The 19,257-nt window shown below is 35.8% G+C and overlaps 1 protein-coding gene across 19 annotated transcripts in view; it reads left to right on the top strand.

Moving 5' to 3' along the window:
* BRAF (B-Raf proto-oncogene, serine/threonine kinase) overlaps positions 1-19,257 on the top strand; it is a 211,602-nt gene that overhangs the window by 104,676 nt on the left and 87,669 nt on the right. For 17 of the 19 annotated variants that reach the window (NM_001378474.1, NM_001378470.1, NM_001378475.1 and 14 more), the window contains 3 exons: positions 11,259-11,362; positions 12,192-12,294; positions 18,694-18,842. In NM_001378474.1, coding sequence (NP_001365403.1) covers positions 11,259-11,362; positions 12,192-12,294; positions 18,694-18,842 — 356 coding nt within the window. Of the gene's footprint in view, positions 1-11,258; positions 11,372-11,937; positions 12,018-12,191; positions 12,295-18,693; positions 18,843-19,257 lie in introns of those variants that run through there. The other 2 variants (XM_047420770.1, NM_001378467.1) reach the window with 2 other exon arrangements.

Here is a 19,257-nt window from a genome sequence, read left to right as displayed (position 1 = left end):
GAAACTTCCTTTTCCCACAAGATCCTGGCCAACATGGAATGTTAACAGATTTTTAAAAGTATTACCAATCTAATAAAATTTAAAGTATATTTGACTTGAATCCTGTGTGTATTGTTTGTCTGTATGACAGTTGTTTGTATTATATGACAAAAAATTAACCAAAAAATATTAGACTCACCTGATTACCCCAAAAGATGGCTTGTGTTCTAAGCCTGTTTAGGCTTATAAGTCAAAAGAAAATTTCTTTAAAAAAATTTTATTTGATGGTTTATTGAGATATAATTCAAAAGCCATACAATTTACCCATTTAAAGTATAAAATGATTTTTGTATATTCACAAAGTTCTGTGGCCGTGATAATTCATTTAAAAATATTTTTTCATCCCAAAAATAAACACTGTACCCGTTAGCAGTCACTTCCCATTCCTCCCATCCCTATGTAACCACCCATTTGCTCCCTATCTCTATAGATTTGCCTATTCTCTGGCATTTCATATAAATGAAATCATACAATATGTGTTTGTGACTGACTTCTTTTACTTAGCATAATGTTTTCAAAGTCCATCCACATTGTACCCTGTGTCAGTCCTTCATGCCTTCTTATGGCTCAGTAATATTCCATTGGCTGTATATACCACATTTTGTTTACACATTTATCAGCTGATGGACATCTGTGTCGTTTCTACTTTTTAGCTGTTATGAGCAATGCTGCTGTGAACATTCGTATTCAAGGTTTTGTGTGGACATATGATTTCATTTGTGCCTCTAGTAACCTTTTAAGAGACTGGCAGAATGTTTTTCAAAATGGCTACACCATTTTACTTTCCCTTGAGCATGAGGGTTCTGTTTTTTTCACATCACTGCCAAACTTGTTTATTATTTGTCTTTTTTATTATAGCCATCCTAATGGGTATGAAATGGTATCTCATTTTGGGTTTTATTTGCATTTCCCTTATGACTAGTAATGTGAAGCATCTTTTTGTGTGATTGTTGGCTTTTATATATCTTTGTGGAGAAAGGATTTGCTTTTATATAGATAGTTTTACATGCAATTCATAGATAAATACCAATGACCTGAGACGAGAAGAATTACAAAGGTTTTTGAACAATGCTCTAATAATAGAAATCGGACAGAAAAGAGAAAGTAGCCAAGATTATTTCCTCTAGAGATGGGAAAATGTACAAGTTCTCCAAGGATCTATGACACAACAAGAGAAAGAAGTGGAGATAACAAGAATAAAACTGAATGCTCTAGAGACACAAAAGGGAAATACTGAAGATAGGTAAGCTCTCTTCAGTATCTTCTTTGTTTTTAAGTTTATTCCTAGGTAAGCTATCTTCAGTGTAAGGTAGACTACGTAAGATAGGTAAGCTGTCTTCAGTATAAGGTAGACTAGATAAGCTATCTTCAAAATAAGGTAGACTAAGTCAAAGGATTGTAATATCAAGAAATGTGATAGACCCTGGATGTGGTCTTTTACATCACTAAATGAAAACCATACTTAATAAGTTGTATATAGTATTGTAAAGATAATTGCCTGTTTTAGGTATTTCAAAATTGGTGACTTTGGTTTAGCATTTAGAAAATATTGTTCATAAGGTTTTTTAACTTTTTATTTAGAAAATTTAAAACACTTGGCCGGTGCTGGCGTGTTGGCTCATGCCTGTAATCCTAGCACTTTGGGAGGCCAAGGCGGGCGGATCACCTGAGGTCAGGAGTTCGAGACCAGCCTGGCCAACATGATGAAATCCTGTTTCTATTAAAAGTATAAAAATTAGCCAGGCATTGTGGCGCACACCTGTAATCCCAGCTACTCGGGAGGCTGAGGCGGGAGAATTGCTTGAACCTGGGAGGCAGAGGTTGCAGTGAGCCAATATCGTGCCACTGCACTCCAGGCTGGGCAACAGAGCAAGACTCCATCTCAAAAAAAAAAAAAAAATTAAAATACTTGTATGGAAAAATATAAAGGACAATATATTAAACAGCTGTTTAGTCACCTACAATGAACAAATACTAATTTTTTGTTATATTTGCTTCATATTATACATAGAAGTACAAATTTAGGTTCCACTACCAGTCCCATTCCTCTGCTGGACACCCATCGTCCCATCTTGTCCCCAAAAAGACAGTCACTATGATAAATGTGAGGTACCTTCAATCATATTTTTGTATTTTATTATATATATGTGTAGCCATAAGCCAATGTTTTTGTTTTTTTTTTAATTTGTAAGGTGATACGATACTATATGTATGTAATGGTCAGCATCTTGTCCTTTTTATTCAAAATTATGATTTCAAGGTGTATGTATTTATATGTTAACACATACAGATCTATTTCATTCAATGCTATTATCAAGTATTCTAGCTTCTTAATATACCACAGTTTATCTTTTTCTCCATTGATGAGCATTTAGGTTATATTTGGATTTTTTTGTTATGACAAACAGTGCTGTAATAAGAACATTCTTGTGCTTGTCTCCTTGTACACATATAACAAGGTGTCACAAACCTGAAAGTGGAATTCCTGGGACAGGGAGTATCATTTGAAGAGACTGTCCTTTCCCCAGTGTATGTTCTTGGCACCTTTGTCAAAAATGAGTTCACTGTAGATGTATGGAATTATTTCATTGTTCTCTATTCTGTTCCATTGGTCTATATGTCTGTTTTTATGCCAGTACCATGCTGTTTTGGTTACTATAGCTTTGTAGTATAATTTGAAGTGAGGTAATGTGATTCTTCCAGTTTTGTTCTTTTTGCTTTGGCTATTCTGGGCCTTTGGTAGTTCCATATAAATTTTAGGATTATTTTTCTATTTCTGTGAAGAATGTCTTTGGTGTTTTCATAGGGATTACATTGAATCTGTAGATTACTTTGGGTAGTATGGACACTTTAGCAATATTGATTCTTCCAGTCCATGAACATGGCCGGTCTTTCCATTTTTTCATGTGTTCTCTCCAGTTTCTTGCATCAGTGTTTTATAGTTTTCATTGTAGAAATCTTTCACTTCTTTGTTTTTAAGTTTATTCCTAGGTATTTTATTTGTAGCTATTGTAAATGGAGTTACTTTCTTGATTTTTGTTTCGGATTGTTTGCTGTTGGCATGTAGAAATGCTGCTGACTTTTGTATGTTAATTTTGTATCCTGCAACTTTACTGAATTTGTCAGTTATAATTGTTTTTTTGGTGGAGTCTTTAGGTTTTTCCAAATATAAGATCATATTATCCACAAACAAGGATAATTTGACTTATTCTTTCCAATTTGGATACCCTTTTTTTTTTCTCTTATCCAATTGCTCTAGCTAGGACTTCCAATAGTGTGTCGAATAACAGTGGTGAAAGTGGGCATCCTTGTCTTGTTCCAGGTCTTAGAAGAATACTTTCAGGTTTTTTTCATTAATTATGATTCTAGCTGTGGGTCTGTTGTCTGATGAAAAGTCTGAAACGGTACCTAAAACTACTAAATTAATTTTAACATCTTTGAGTTGTTTTTAGTTCTGTGAGAAGAGCATATCTATTTTGGTTTACTCAGTGAGTAGAGTAGTGTCTAATACTGAGTAAATGTACTGTAAGTATTTTTGAAAGAATGAGTCTTTGGGTTTACATACCCTGGGGTTTGTAAACAAATATCTGTTGATTGGCATTAATCCTGATGGTATCCAAGGTACAGGAATGGCAAAGGGAAAAGATAGGGCAATACTGACTGATGCTTCAAAATCATGCCCTAGTTATGCTATAATCAAGCAGGAAATGTTTATGGAATGGAAAGATTAAGGAAAAGGTATGTTCTTATTTTAGCAATAAAACGAATACCAGAAGCTTTAACATTCACCAGTACAAATAAATAGTTTCAATGGAATAGGTCGAAAGTAAAGGGACATCACTAGAGTAAATGCTAGACCTTCCCTCTCCTTTTATTTTTAGCAACAGCAAAGCAGAAACTAAGATCTACAAGTGATCAAAGAGGGTGATCCATTCAGTTTCTGTGTAGACAGGAATAATAATAATACCTTTTACATATTGGTACAGTTTGTAAAAACACTTTCACTTACTCATTTAATCTTCATAGCAACTTGATGAGGTAGAATACTATAGGAAGCAGTATTAGCTCAGGTTGGTACGTAAATTACTGTGTTTAAATTTCAATAAAACAGCTATGGAATCCAAGACATTCTTGGCGCCTAATAAACTGTATTCTTTGCCAACAGTGAAAGTGCTTCTCTGTTGCTTGGTAAGTTTTTTCCCCTTAGAATACTAATAAAGTAATTGATTAACTTTCATTTTTATTTTGATTTGATTGGGACAGCAATTTAGCAGTAAAAAATGTCACCTTTATAAATCCTGTGGTTTCTGGTTCTTGGCCAGTTAAATTCAACCTGACCAGGAGGCACGCTTAATTCTAAAATTGCTTTTACCTTCTGAAGTTTTTGTGGTATAGACATCCTCCTTTTTCTACTTTAATGAAAGCATGTTATAAGCAGATCATAACAATTTTTTTTTCTTTAAAACAATATTGTAATTAGGCCAGTTGCAGTGGCTCACACCTGTAATCCCAGCACTTTGGGAGGCTGAGGCAGGCGGGTCACTTGAGGTAAGGAGTTCGAGACCAGCCTGAGGAACATACTAAAACCCCGTCTTTACTAACAATACAAAAAAATTAGCCGGGCTTGCTGGCACATGCCTGTAATCCCAGCTGCTCTGGAAGCTGAGGCATGAGAATCCCTTGAACCTGTGAAGTGGAGTTTGCAGTGATTCTAGGTCGCACCATTGCACAAGCCTGGGTGGCAGAGCAAGACCCTGTCTCAAAAAAAAAAAAAAAAAAAAATGGCTCACACCTGTAATCCTAGCACTTTGGGAGGCTGAGGCGGGCGAATCATGAGGTCAGGAGATCGAGACCATCTTGGCTAACAAGGAGAAACCCCGTCTCTACTAAAAATACAAAAAAAAACAAAATTAGCCAGGCGTGGTGGCAGACACCTGTAGTCCCAGCTACTCAGGAGGCTGAGGCAGGAGAATGGCGTGAGCCCGGGAGGTGGAGCTTGCAGTGAGCTGAGATCACGCCACTGCACTGCAGCCTGGGCGACAGAGCGAGACTCTGTCTCAAAAAAAAAAAAAAAATGTAATTGATGTAATAGTCCCAAAAAAGAACTTGGCATTAAGTTAAATTATAAAATCAGAAAGCTATGTAATTTAAATTTGTATTCAAAATCTGTATATTGGCATGTATATTCTGTGCCAGTTTATTTAAGATGTTACTGTATCATGAAGCTTACTTAAGGCATATAATCGTCTGCACTGTAAAACAAACTACCAAATTAATGTACTATCTCAAAGAATTAAACATATAACAATTTTGATGACCACCTAAATTTTAGAACAACTGTTTTTTTAAAAAACTTTTTACTATGGAAACTTTTATATATATAATATATATAAATTATATATGTTATATATAATATATATATGTTATATATAATATATATGTTATATATAATATATATGTTATATATTGTATATAAATTATGTTATATATAAATTATATACATTATATATAAAGTATAAATTATATGAATTTTATATATATATATTTTTTGAGATGGAGTCTCACTCTGTCACCCAGGCTGGAGTGCAGTGGCACAGTCTTGGCTCACTACAACCTCCGCCTCCTAAGTTCAAGTGATTCTCCTGCCTCAGCCTCCCTAGTAGCCAGGATGACAGGAGCCTGCCACCATGCCTGGCTAATTTTTGTGTTTTTAATAGAGATGGGGTTTCACCATGTTGGCCAGGCTGGTCTTGAACTCCAGACCTCAGGTGATCTGCCTGCCTTGGCCTCCCAAAATGCTGGGATTACAGGCATGAGCCACCATGTCTGGCCAACTATGGAAAATTTTAAACATACATAAAAGTAGAGTAGTATATGAATCATTGTGAGCTCATTAACAAAAGATAATTTCAGTTCACTTTAAAAATTGACGTGTGAAAGTTTGGACTCATACATTTTGTTTTGGTCTAAAGTTTCCTTGGCAAATATTCACATGGTTCCATTGACTCTGGCTCCTTTTTAAGATAGGATGCTTTTTTATTTTTTTAAGAGAAAAATTATTGCTCTGACAAGCTAATCAAAGATATTTAATTTTGGAATTTGGAGGAAAGGCATAAACCTAGTTTATTACAAAAATACCTCTTTTTAGTTTTCCTAGCCTTAAAGTAGGAGACAACCTCCCTCCCTTTACACAGGTTATACTTTCATATGGTATTTGCATAAAGAAATCTTGTTTTCACCCTGGCCTAAATATACATCCAATTTTCTCTGCACCTTTTAGGTAACTCTTTTTTAAGGAGGGTGTGTGTGTGTGTGTGTGTGTGTGTATGTATGCGTCCGCATGCATGTGCATGTGTGTACACGCATGTATGGATTTTCATGGTTTTTAAAATATAGACATAAGTACAAATACATTTATTTCCCCACTCTTCATACATAAGATACATAATACTGTATATATCATTCTGTATTTTGTTTTTAACGTTTATGTAGGCCATTCTGGAAATTTTGTTTCATACATAATTTTTTATATATATACAACTACAGTTCCATTGTATAGATGTACTATAGTGTATTTAACCAGTGATGTGTGTATGGTCATTCAGGTTCTTTCTAGACTTTTGATATACAGTCAGTACTGTAGTGAATAATGTTGCACATACATTATTCTTATGTATTGCAGGCATATCTGTGAGATAGATTCCCAGAAGTATGCTTGACTAGGTCAAAGAGAAATTTGCATTTGTGACTTTGATAGATACAAATTTCGCTTCATGGATCTTGCTTAATTATGAGATGTCTGTTTATAGCTTCATACCAGTAGAATATGTTATCAATTTTTTTTTGGATTTTTGCCAATCTGATAAATGAAAAATAACTTCACTAGTTTGGGTTTGCTTTCCTCTGAGTGAGACTGAACATGTTTTCATATGTGTGAAGGCCATTTCTACTTCTGTTTCTGGGACCTGTCTCTCATATATTTTTCCCTTTTTCTCTTGGGTTATTGGTCTTCATCTCAATTTTTCAGGAGCTCTTTGTGTATCAGGAAGCTAACACATCTGCTAAATGAGTTGCAAATATATTTTTCACCATTTGTACTGTCTTTTTACTTCACTTTTAATGTGTTTGTTTTGCCATCCAAAAGTTTTTTTTTAGCTTTATGTAGGTGAATATAATATTTTTTTCCTTTATGACTTGTAGATTTTGCATCAGAGTTATAAAAGCCTTTTTCATTTGAAGATTTGAAGGTGCCATGCTTTCTTCTAGTTCTTTTATGGTTTGTTTCACTCTCCTTCCCTTTCTTCCTTCCAGCATTTAAATATTTGATCCATTTGTAGTTTATTCTGGTATACAATATGAAGTATGGATGAACCTTTTTTTCTAGATTAGTTCCAGTTGTCCCAGCATCAGTTATTTAAAAGTTCATCTTTACCCCATTTCAGATGTTGCCTTTATCTTATTCGCACTTTCTTTATGTGTTAGGGTCTATTTTGGTCTTTCTGTTTTGTTCCATTGATTTCTTCATCTGTTGTACAGGTACTATCATGAAAGAACAAATAGTATAAAAATTCAGCCTACAAAAGTGGAATTAAGAAGGACTGATAGATGGCTTGCCTTGGTAATAGAGCAGAAAACCAAATTTTTGCCTGTTGATGAAATATATATGCAACTTAGGATCAGCATATGTAGAGAAGCATGAGGGAGCATAGCCATATTTGAAGTGCATTACTGGAGTGCCTAAGGGAAATTACCAAAGAGGCTGAAGGATAGATAGCTCCAAGTCATTGGTGGCCTTTTATGACACATTATGGAATTGGAATTTTATCTTACAAATAATGGGAAAATTTTAAGCAAACTAGTGAAATTTAAGATTATATATTAGAATGGGTTAAATGCTGAGTTCAGTGAACTCAGCGTGGGCTTCAGATTCCACAAACCCTATGAAATTTTGTTTCAGAGAGCACATTTGAGGCTTTCATTAGATTCTCAGAAGTCTTTCTCTCTCTCCCCCTCCCACCCTCACACACACACACACACACACACACACACACACAGGTGTGCATGCACATGCATGCCCAAAAGTTAAGAATACCTTCTTAAAAGTAAAAAATTAAAAACAAAGATAAAAAAGAAAAAAAGAATGCCTTCTTTAGAAAGATTTCTATGGTAACATAGGATAGGATACATTGGATGTGGTTTAAAACTAAAGATCGGTCACCAGTCAGGAAATTTTGGCATTAGTATAGGCGGAAGACGAATGGCACAGGGAAAAGTGAGCTTTCACTTAAGTTTATTATTTCTGAAAGGTTACAACCAGTTCTCATTGTTCGTAGTAGTTATGGTCTATAAATTCACTACAAACAATTAGTGAACACTGAACCTTGCTCCTAGGGGAAGTACAAGGATTATTATTATTTAAATGAGCCAAAAAACCCCTCTGTATATTGGCCTCTAGGTTGTTTCTTCCATTACAACAGGTTGAGACCTATTGGCTTAAAAGTGTGCTTGCACCAAACTAAATTTTTTGTACATCTAATTGTTTTAAATATAATCCTGATAAGCAGATTTTTAGCCACTGAGAGCCTGCCTACTTTGCAGTCCCCACAAAACTGCTTTGTACTCAACATCTATTAGGTATAAATAAGATCAAATCCCAAGGCTATAAAGATTCCAAGCTGCTGTTGCCCTTTGGAGCTCTTTGATACATAGACTCCCTGCTGGGTTGTCTAACATTGTCAGCTAGACATATAAGCTCCCTCTCCTACTCCCCTCTCCCCTGAGAGTCCCCTAGCCCTCCTCTTCTGGGTGATAGCCACTCCACCTCAGCTTCTGGCCAGTCCTGTTTGGGTAGTGGCCACTCTGCCTTAGCCTCTGGACAGTATGCTTTAAGGACATCCTCTGCCTGCAGATCTGTCAATGTCACCCAATAAAGCTATGCATGCTACTGCCACCTCGTGGTCATATCTTTTTCCTTGATCAGACCCCAGATCCTTCACATTTAAAATACAGTTAGGTTCCTACCAGCCTCTAGTCACATTTTCATCAGTCAGTCGATACGTAACCTTGTTTTGTGTGTGTTTCTGTTTAAAGACATATTGTTGATTCATTAACATTGAACTCACGGCTGACATTACTATAACTCATGCCTGAAGGAAGCTGGCCTAACACATGTACTTACTCTGCCAGGGACATTATAGCCTTCTTATGCTTACCAGCCCTAAACAGCACGTGAGCACTATGCTTAGGGATTATTTTAAACAGAAGAATCATCAACAAGAAGCACAAAAGTGAGAAAAAAGTGGCACCAAATAGGCTCTGCCCAGGATACTTGTTTATAGTATGAAAATTGAAACAAGAAGGCAAGAGAAAGCTTCACTGTTCAACCTCAGTTGGAGAGGTGCATGCATTAGGCGACTCAAATATCTCATTGCTCTGCGCATGTCTATGAAAGCACTAAGAGTATTGACTTTAGAGTTACAAATAAATTTTAGCAAGTAGAGAGATTTCAAGTATGGACTCCACAAGTAATGAGGATCAACTGTACCATCCAGTCTCTTTAATACTTCCAGTGATGAGCCCAGTCTCTCATGACAAACTTTTACCTTGCTGGGTAGGTAAAAGTTCAGGGTTTTTCTTTGTTTGTTTGTGACAGTATCTCGCTCTGTCACCCAGGCTGGAATGCAGTGGTACGATTTTGGCTTGCCGCAACCTCTGCCTTCTGGGTTCAAGTGATTATCGTGCCTCAGCCACCTGAGTAGCTGGGATTATAGGCGCCCGCCGCTCTGCCCGGCTACTTTTTGTGTTTTTTAGTAGAGATGGGGTTTCACCATGTTGGCTAAGCTGGTCTCGAACTCCTGACCTCAAATGATCCACCCACCTTGGCCTCCCAAAGTGTTGGGATTACAGGTGTTAGCCACTGCACCCAACCTGGATAGTTTTAATGGTTATATTGCACTACCCTCTGCGTCCTGTTATTTCTGGTCATAGATCCTAATTAGGCTTTCTGGACTCTTTCCCCCTTCAATATATTATTTGAATTCAGCTGTCTTATATTTACCTTTACCCCCTTTTTTTCCCCTCTAGCATAAATATTCCCAATTTCTTTGGAAACTTTTGGTTTGCTAAGCACCTCAATTTAAATGAATGGAACTTATTGTTACAAACTAACATTTCCCCTTCTTCTTACACCTCCCAATAAAAACTGTGTCCTCTGTATTCACACTGCCTCACTGTAGTCTACACCTTCAGTTCCAAGTAACTCAGATTTGCCTGTGGGGGATGAGGCAAGGAAAAGGCTAAAGATAGATAACTTTAAATATACAGAGAGATTACTTTTTTTTTCCCTTTCCCTTTCCCTCCTTCTCTGTCTCTCTCTTCCCATGTCATCTTTGCTGCTTCGTATGTTAGCTTCATTCTATAACAGATTTTCTCAGTGTGGTGGAGAATATGGCCATTGAGGGCTCCAGATTTGTATCTTCTGCAAATCTACAGAACTACAGTAGAAACAAGGACTTTTCTCTGTCAGTGTCCATGTGTCAATTTAGGGAAGAACTCAGGTACTGTTTGGGTCATATATATAGCCCTGGACCAGTTGCTCTTGCCGGGGGTATGGGAAACTGATTAGCCAGCTTCTGTCATCTGTAGTGACATAAAAGTAGTGACCCTTGATAGCTTTTCTAGTACCATGTGGATTTCTAGAGAAGGGAATATTCCCAGAGGAAACAGGGGCACCAAACAACAAATATCAAGTATACATGTTAAGACAGGTTTTTTTCTTCCCGCTATGTTTAGGGCCAGTAAGAGGTCTCTTAAGGACAGTCAGTGTGATTGAAGGGTTATACAGTTTTCAGCTTTGAACAGTATTGGATCAAAATTGATTTTGCTTTTAATATTGACATCTATTATTGCTCAGTGATGGATATACTGCGTTGGTGGGTATATTGTAGCAGATACTGTTACTTCTTCTTTTTATATGTTTAAAGTATTTCATAATTTTAATAAAATAGAAAATTAACTTTGCTTTGATTTAAGTTGGTGAATAATAACAAATATTTGGGTTATAATTTCCCTTTAGTATTAAGTTAGCTGTAGAAATGGTGTTGTATCTGACCTAGTAACCCATTTGACTTTTTAAAGATGAATTACTAAATTTTTTTAATGATATGAAAAAATGTAATTTGCTCCCTTTACCTCTTATCAATATATTTATGATACCATAGGTACCTGCAAGGTGTGGAGTTACAGTCCGAGACAGTCTAAAGAAAGCACTGATGATGAGAGGTCTAATCCCAGAGTGCTGTGCTGTTTACAGAATTCAGGATGGGTATGGTTTGTATGTGACGTGAAATTTTGTTTAAAAAGAAAATCACACATTAAACTTTGAAGTTTTCTTAGGATCTTTACCAAAACCTAGGGAATTGAAAGTGTACTTTAGGAAAAAGTATTAAAATAATACTAAGTTAGCCTGAAGAAATACTGTAGGCCATATGAGGAGTTAAATAATTGTATATGACTGTAGGGTTTGTTACTTTGATCAAATGATTTTATTTGGAATTTGAGATTCTTACAATTTTTGAACCATTCAGAGTGTGATTTATTTGGATAATAGACTCTTACCCCCCTCCCATTTTTAATACAAACTCATAGTTTCACAAAAGGTATATCAAAATTAACATTTTATATTGACCTACTTTTCTTTCAGAAAGTGTCTAACATTGTTCCAAGACCCTCACATTTTGAATCCTCTTTAAAAAAAAAAAAATTATTTTGGGGGCATGTTGTCCCTGTCCCTTGAGTACTCTTTTTCCTTGAATGGATAGATAAGTCCGTACCTGTGATTTTTTTTTTTTTTTTTTTTTTTTTTGGACCCCAGGAACAATCCATTTTCTGCTGTTGTAGGTCTTTTCTGGAGCTGACTTGAAGAAAAGAGTACATCTCTTTACCCTGCTGTTTGTCCAAGAGTGATACATTTATTTGGGGTAAACTTAAAATTAATTTATTGCCATTTAAATTTCTAACGATGGAATATTAGGGAGCCAAACCTCCCTCACTGTTACTAGCCCCTCGATAACCAATTTTCATATCTTCAGCATGAGGTATATGAATATTTTTAGGTGTAATAACCAAGAAAGGCTTGTGTCTACATTTTTCAGAGAGAAGAAACCAATTGGTTGGGACACTGATATTTCCTGGCTTACTGGAGAAGAATTGCATGTGGAAGTGTTGGAGAATGTTCCACTTACAACACACAACTTTGTATGTATCTTTACATTTTTTTTTGAAATGTCAAAAATGTTTAGATTTTAATGAATGAATTTTTATTTAGGGAATGTGAAATATGGATGAGTAATTTTGGAACTGACATTTTACCTGAGTTGAAATCAGTTGTTTTCTTTAAAAACTTGTATTTAAACAAGAGTTTAATTTTAATCTTTATACTTTCTTTTTAATTTAAAAAAGTAAAATGTATGCATTGTTAAAAGATAATTTTGAATAGTGCAGAAGTATGTCAAGTAAAAAAAGTGAAAATACCCTCCTAGAGGCCAACATTTGTTTAGATTAACAGATTATTGTTCTGTCTTCCAAACTTTTTTCTGTGTACACAAACGTGTGCTTGTACCTGTAAGCCTAAAGTTTTTTCCTTTCTTTTTTTCTCTCTTTCCTTCATTACTTTCTTTTCTTTTCCCTTTCTTAAATCAAAGTAGAGCCATGCTATGTGATATTCTTTGCCTTATTTTTTTTTAATTCAACAGGATGTCACGGACATCTTTTCATGTCAGTATACCTGGCTTTATTTTAGTATGACTATGTAATAATTCGTAAGAATAGGAATTCATTATATTTAACCATTTCTCTATTGATAGACATTTAAGTTTTTGTATTATAAAAAATCTGTTACATACAGGGCTAAACAAGGTCTTTCTGCATATATCTTGACACACTTGTACACACCCTTGTGTTTCTGAAGGATAGGTTAATGGAAATAGAATGGCTGGATATTAAACTCTCCATGAGGCTTTTTTCTTTGTCTGGTTTTTGCATTTGCTAGAACCTAGCATAAGCCTAAGGGTCACCAGCATAAGGCCCGGAATGTGGGACCTTTCCACCTTAGAGATGAGGATCTACATAGAACTTGAGAACTTATCCCCTAAAATGGCAGGCAGAAGCCAAAAGTTGTCTCTGAATCAGGAATACATTTCTTACTTTTCTCTATGTATGGAATTTTGGCCAGAGTTTTTTCTAGGTGGATAATTACTGCTACCCTTTAGGCGTCAAGTGTTTTCCCATGTGTCTTGGTGATTAATCCAGCTGGGCTCTTAAAGCAGATGATTGATTAGATTATTTCCTTTGGGGTTTATGCTTTCAAGCCTCCATTAGTAGTGAATAATGAAATCATGTTTGTGTTTCTGTAAGGCATTTTTTGGGAGAAGTGTAAGATACACCTAATGTCAATCAAATTTTACTGTGCAGCAAATAATTTTTTAACATGTTGAATTTTAAGTGGATAAATCTTAACATTTTTATTTAAGTTCTTAAGAATACAAATACAGTTGAGCATACATTTCATAGTGATTACTACTCTGTTTCTTAATAATTCTTCTTAGCTAGAAATTGAATATGAGGAGATAAAAGAAAGACCTAAGTTGCTAAGTGTGAGAAAATAGTATTAAAATGATGCCTCAGGAAGGTCCTTGCCACAGAAGGATTGTGAAAGCAAACTGCAGATTGATTCCAGAGTATGGAAATTGTCACCACTCAGTTGGATACCTGCCAGTAAATTTTTATTGAGAACTTTCCATTTGCCAATACCATATCTTACCTAGGGATATGACAAATGAATAAGACAGTGTCACTGCCATAGAGTAGAGAGAAGATTTAATAAATTTTCATAAACATTCATAATTACTATATATGTATAAAGTTCTATAGATGCACAGAGATTCCTAACCTGGCTTTTGAGGAGTTAGGAAGGTTTCTCAGAGACAGAAATATCTAAGCTTAGGCCTGATGGATGAGGAAGTAAGTATCAAGTAAAGAGTACCCTAAACAGAGGGAAGAGCAAGAAAGCATGTTACCTTTCAAAGTTTTGAAAGAAGTTCAGAATGGATGATACAAGGTTGAAGAGTAGGTTGTTAACAGTATTGTGGGTAGAATAAGAGTTGTGGGTAGAATAAGCAGAGTCCAGCTCATGAAAATCCTTGTTAGCCATATTAAAGATTTGGATTTTTCTGTAAAATAATTAGAAATGTAATAGTTGTAAGCTTGGGGAGAAATGTGATTAGATTTGTGTGTTAGAATGATTGCTCTGAGTGCCATATAGAGGCAAGATCAAAAACCTATGTTCTGCTTAGAAAGGAAAAGTGTTCTTGGCTGTCTTGGGTTTTGCTTGGCTATTCAAGGAGGGCTGCTTATGCCTCATGGTTTCATATTATAAAAGCAATCCCTTCAGTATTTCTCTATATCCCAAGAGTCCTTGGGAACTGGGAAGTGGGAAAACAAGATTTGAAACTTTTATATCCAAACCTTCTCCTTTTTCTGCAGACACTCAGTGTCTTCCTTCACACAGCCCCACACCTTACAAATTAATGCATGCAAATTACCTTGACTGTGCCTCTCACTAATTTGCCATACATATTTATGTATACTCAGATACTAGATTAAGTGTAAGCTGTGACCCAAAAGAAAGATATATCTTCCTGTGCTCATCTTTATTGACAAAGGTATACTTACAGATACAGGCATATATTGCTTAAAATTTATGATCAAATGCATATCCACATGTTTTCTTTCCTTCAGCTGTTTTGGTCACCTACCTACTTGGTTTGGTGAATAATGGCCACATAAAAAATTTTAAAGATTTTAAAATTTCTTGTATATCCAGAGACAAATGGAAAAAGAACACAATTAGAAATAGACATTTACCTGTTTTATATCCCCTAGAAAGTGATACATAGGAAAAAAGGTGAAGAAAATAAGAGTCACTTTTAAAACTAAATGTCCTCAAAAAGCCAGAATGTATTATATATCAGGATGTAATTTTCTTGAAATATTTTCAATAACTTTCTATTCTTAATGGAACAGAATGTGTAAATAAATGTGTATTGAAAATGGACTTTTGGCTGGGCACAGTGGCTCATGCCTCTAATCCCTTGAGAGGCCGAGGCAGGCAGATCACTTGAGCCCAAGAGTTCAAGACCAGCCTGGGTAACATGACAAAACCTCATCTCTCCAAAAAAATACAAAAAGTAGGTGGGCATGGTGGTGTGCACCAATAGCCTTGGCTATTCAGCCTGAGGTGGGAGGATAACTTGAGCCTGGGAGGCAGACTTTGCAGTGAGTCATGATTGTGCCACCATACTCCAGCCTGGGCAACAGAGCAAGACCCTATCAAAAAAAAAAGAAAAGAAAAAGAAAAGTAGACTTTTGATGTTGAAATCTATTTAATGTATCATAAAAAAATTTACATGTAGCAGAATAGATTAGGAAGTTCTAATTCATGTTGTATATAGTCAGGGTAAGTAGTGTTGTATGAATACAGTTATATATGGAGTCATAATGTAAAATATCATTATTTGTGATTAAAACTCTGAAAAACTGGGCACAGTGGCTCACGCCTGTAATCCCAGCACTTTGGGAGGCTAAGGTGGGCAGCTCACGAGGTCAGGAGTTCAAGACCAGCCTGGCCAGCCTGGTAAAATCCTGTCTCATTTGAAAATCTTGTGAGTTGTAACTGGTTTTATACAAAATATTGAAGAGTGGAAATTGTATAATTACAATCATGTAATTAAAAGTATTAACCACCCCCCCCAAAAAAAAAACCTGTCTCTACTAAAAATACAAAAATTAGCCAGGTGTGATGGTGTGCGCCTATAGTCCTAGCTGCTCGGGAGGCTGAGGCAGGAAAATCGCTTGAATCCAGGAGGTGGAGGTTGTAGTGAGCCGAGATCGTGCCACTGCACTCCGGCCTGGGTGACAGTGAGACTCTGTCTCAAAAAAAAAATCTCTGAAAAACTGAAATGAATTAAGAATATAGAGGCCGAGTGTGGTGGCTCATGTCTGTAACACTCTGGGAAGACGAGGCAGGCGGATCACTTGAGGTCAGGAGTTTGAGACCAGCCTGGCCAACATGGTGAAACTCCATCTCCACCAAAAAATACAAACGTTAGCTAGGCATGGTGGTGCATGCCTGTAGTCCCCAGCTACTTGGGAGGCTGAGGCAGGAGAATCACTTGAAACCAGGAGGCAGAGGTTGCAGTGGGCCGAGATCCTGCCACTGTACTCCAACCTGGGCGACAGAGCGAGACTCCATCTCAAGAATACAGAGCAAAGAACAAATAATGAAATAGAAGTCACCCATGCTCTCGCCACTCTGAAGTAGCCACTCACATTTTGATATTTATTCTTATATTTTCTTATTATTATATACACTAAATAAATATATTTTAAGCAATTTCTGGCTTTAGTGGGATAGATTCTTCCTAGTGCAGTTCTGTTACGTGACTCATGTTCTACATCATTTGCCTTTGACATGGAATTCTTAACATGTTGCCTTCTAAGTTTCACCTAGAGAAGTGTTCACAAATAAGTTTATGTGGCCCAAACATTCTAATCCTCTAAGAAATTGATCATTTGTTAGAAAAAATAGATCTTATTGTCTTTTAGGTGATTTTTCTGTTTCTTATTTTTTTTAGTAAGATTAGGAAGAGCTGTTTCAATTTTCATATGATTACTTACTAGTTTTATAAATAATTGTTTTTACATTTTTATCCAAAGTTAACCATTATGTTTTTGGACCATAGATCAGGGGTTCTGATTCTGTCAGCTATTTTGTTTTTGTTTTTGTTTTAGCTATTATGTAGATTGTATTTATAGTCTCTCTCCCTCCCACCCCCAATTCCACTCTGGAGGAATTCACTGTTAATTTTTAATGGTTTCTGTTTTAAGCTCTTTTGGTGATTATTTTCATCTTACTAAATACAGTTACACATTGCCTGATGACTGGGATATGTTCTGAGAAATGCATCAATGGTGATTTTGTTATGTGCTTACACAAGCCTACATGGTATAGCCTAACTATACAACTAGGCTATATGGTAGAGCCTATTGCTTCTAAGCTAATAACCTGCACGGAATGTTACTGAACTGAATGCTGTAGGTAACCTTAACACAGTGGCAAGTTTGTGTATCTAAACGTAGAAAAGGTACAGTAAAAATACAGTATAAAAGATCAAAAATGGTCTACCTGTGTAGGATACCTAATATGAACAGAGCTTTTAGGACTGGAAATTGCTCTGGTGAGTGAGTGGTGAGTGAATGTGAAGGCGTAGGACATTACTATTTGTTACTGTAGACTTTTATGATAAACATTGTACACTTAGGCTACAGTACAGTTTTAAAATTTTTCTTTTTAAAAAGTTTATAAAGTAAAAAATTTACATTAAACTAAGGTTTAATTTTTTTTAACTTTTTGACTCTTGAAATAACAGTTTCAAAAGTTTAAAAACATTATATAGCTATACAAAAATATTTTATGTGCTTATTCTATAAACTTCTATTTTAAAAATTTTTAATTTTTCTTTTTTACTTTTTAAACTTTTCTGTTAAAAATGAAGACACAAGCTGCACACGGTGGCTCATGTTTGTAATCCCAGCACTTGAGGAGGCCTAGGCAGACGCATCACCTGAGGTCAGGAGTTCAAGACCAGCCTGGTCAACATGGTGAAACCCTTCCTCTAATAAAAAATAGGAAAATTAGCCAGGCCTAGTGGCATGTGCCTGTGGTCCCAGCTGCTCGGGAGGCTGAAGCAGGAGAATCACTTGAACCAGGAGGTGGAGGTTGCAGTGAGCCGAGATCGTGCCACAGCACTCCAGCCTGGGCGACAGAGCCAGACTCTGTCTCAAAAAAAAAAAAAAAAAAAAAAAGACACAAACATACACATTAGCCTAGGTCTACACAAGGTCAGGATCTTCAAGGTATCACTAGGCAATAGGAATTATTCAACTCCTTTATAATCTTATGGGACCACTGTGGTATGAAGTCCATGATTAACTGAAGTGTCATTATGTGACACATGACTGCAATTATCTTTTAGCCACAATTTCTTGCTTTATTAACTTTAGATATCATATACTGATTACTGATTGTATAAGGAATTAGCTCATTTATAGTTCTTCCTCTCCCTCCTCTCCCCCAATATTTTTATTAGTAGTTTTTTGGTTCTTCTATTGGGTGCCTTTGTAACTTTAATATATGCCTTTCTTGTTCCGTCAACACCAGTCGGCATTTCTTAACCTCCCTTCTTTGTATGATAATTAAAGTATAGGCTTCTTCCTTTCACCTCTGTTTCCTCCTCCTTTTCATGTCTACTTTTACTTTTATGTTGTCAAGCTTGAAATCAGTTGCCAGCCTTTTACTCATTTCTCATTTTTTAACTTCTGGGTTTTTAAGTTAGATAGTGGGGTGGGAAATAAATATGTGTAGTCCATCTATTATCTTGAACCCCCGGTTTTCATTTTATAATAGTACTTTAGTATGTGAGTTTCATGATATAAATATATTACAACTTTGTTATTTTAAACAAGAGAGTAGATACGTCAGTTTCTAGAAAGTTTTCTTGTGAGTTTTTGAAATCTCTGTGATTTTTTACTTTGCAGGTACGAAAAACGTTTTTCACCTTAGCATTTTGTGACTTTTGTCGAAAGCTGCTTTTCCAGGGTTTCCGCTGTCAAACATGTGGTTATAAATTTCACCAGCGTTGTAGTACAGAAGTTCCACTGATGTGTGTTAATTATGACCAACTTGAGTAAGTAATCCAAAAATATCTCTTTTCTACCTACCATTTTACACTTAAATTTTCTTAATGTGAAGCTACGATGTCTAAAAGTCTGTGAGGGTTTTTCTTCCATACGATTGTTATAGAGAATTTTTTTTAAGTGTAGTTAGAGAATAATATGTGGAATGGACAGTATTTCTCTCCCAAATTGTAATGCTGGTTCAGCTATACAGTTAATTTATATTTTATATTATCGTTTAATTAATCAAGACCCCTAACCCATAGAAACCATTTTTGGATAGTTTCTAGGAGGAGAGGGAGAGTTGTTTCAATTAAATTAAGCATTATGATTTTGTACCACAGATCAGGTAGTCTGATTCTGTTAGCTATTTTGTAAATTACGTTTATATTCTTCCTCTCTCTCCTTCATCCCCATTCAGCTCCC

The sequence above is a fragment of the Homo sapiens genome, chromosome 7 (assembly GCF_000001405.40).
Source record: "Homo sapiens chromosome 7, GRCh38.p14 Primary Assembly".
NCBI lineage: Eukaryota > Metazoa > Chordata > Mammalia > Primates > Hominidae > Homo > Homo sapiens.
Note: the sequence above shows the minus strand (reverse complement) of the source record. Positions and strands in the feature narration are given on the sequence as shown.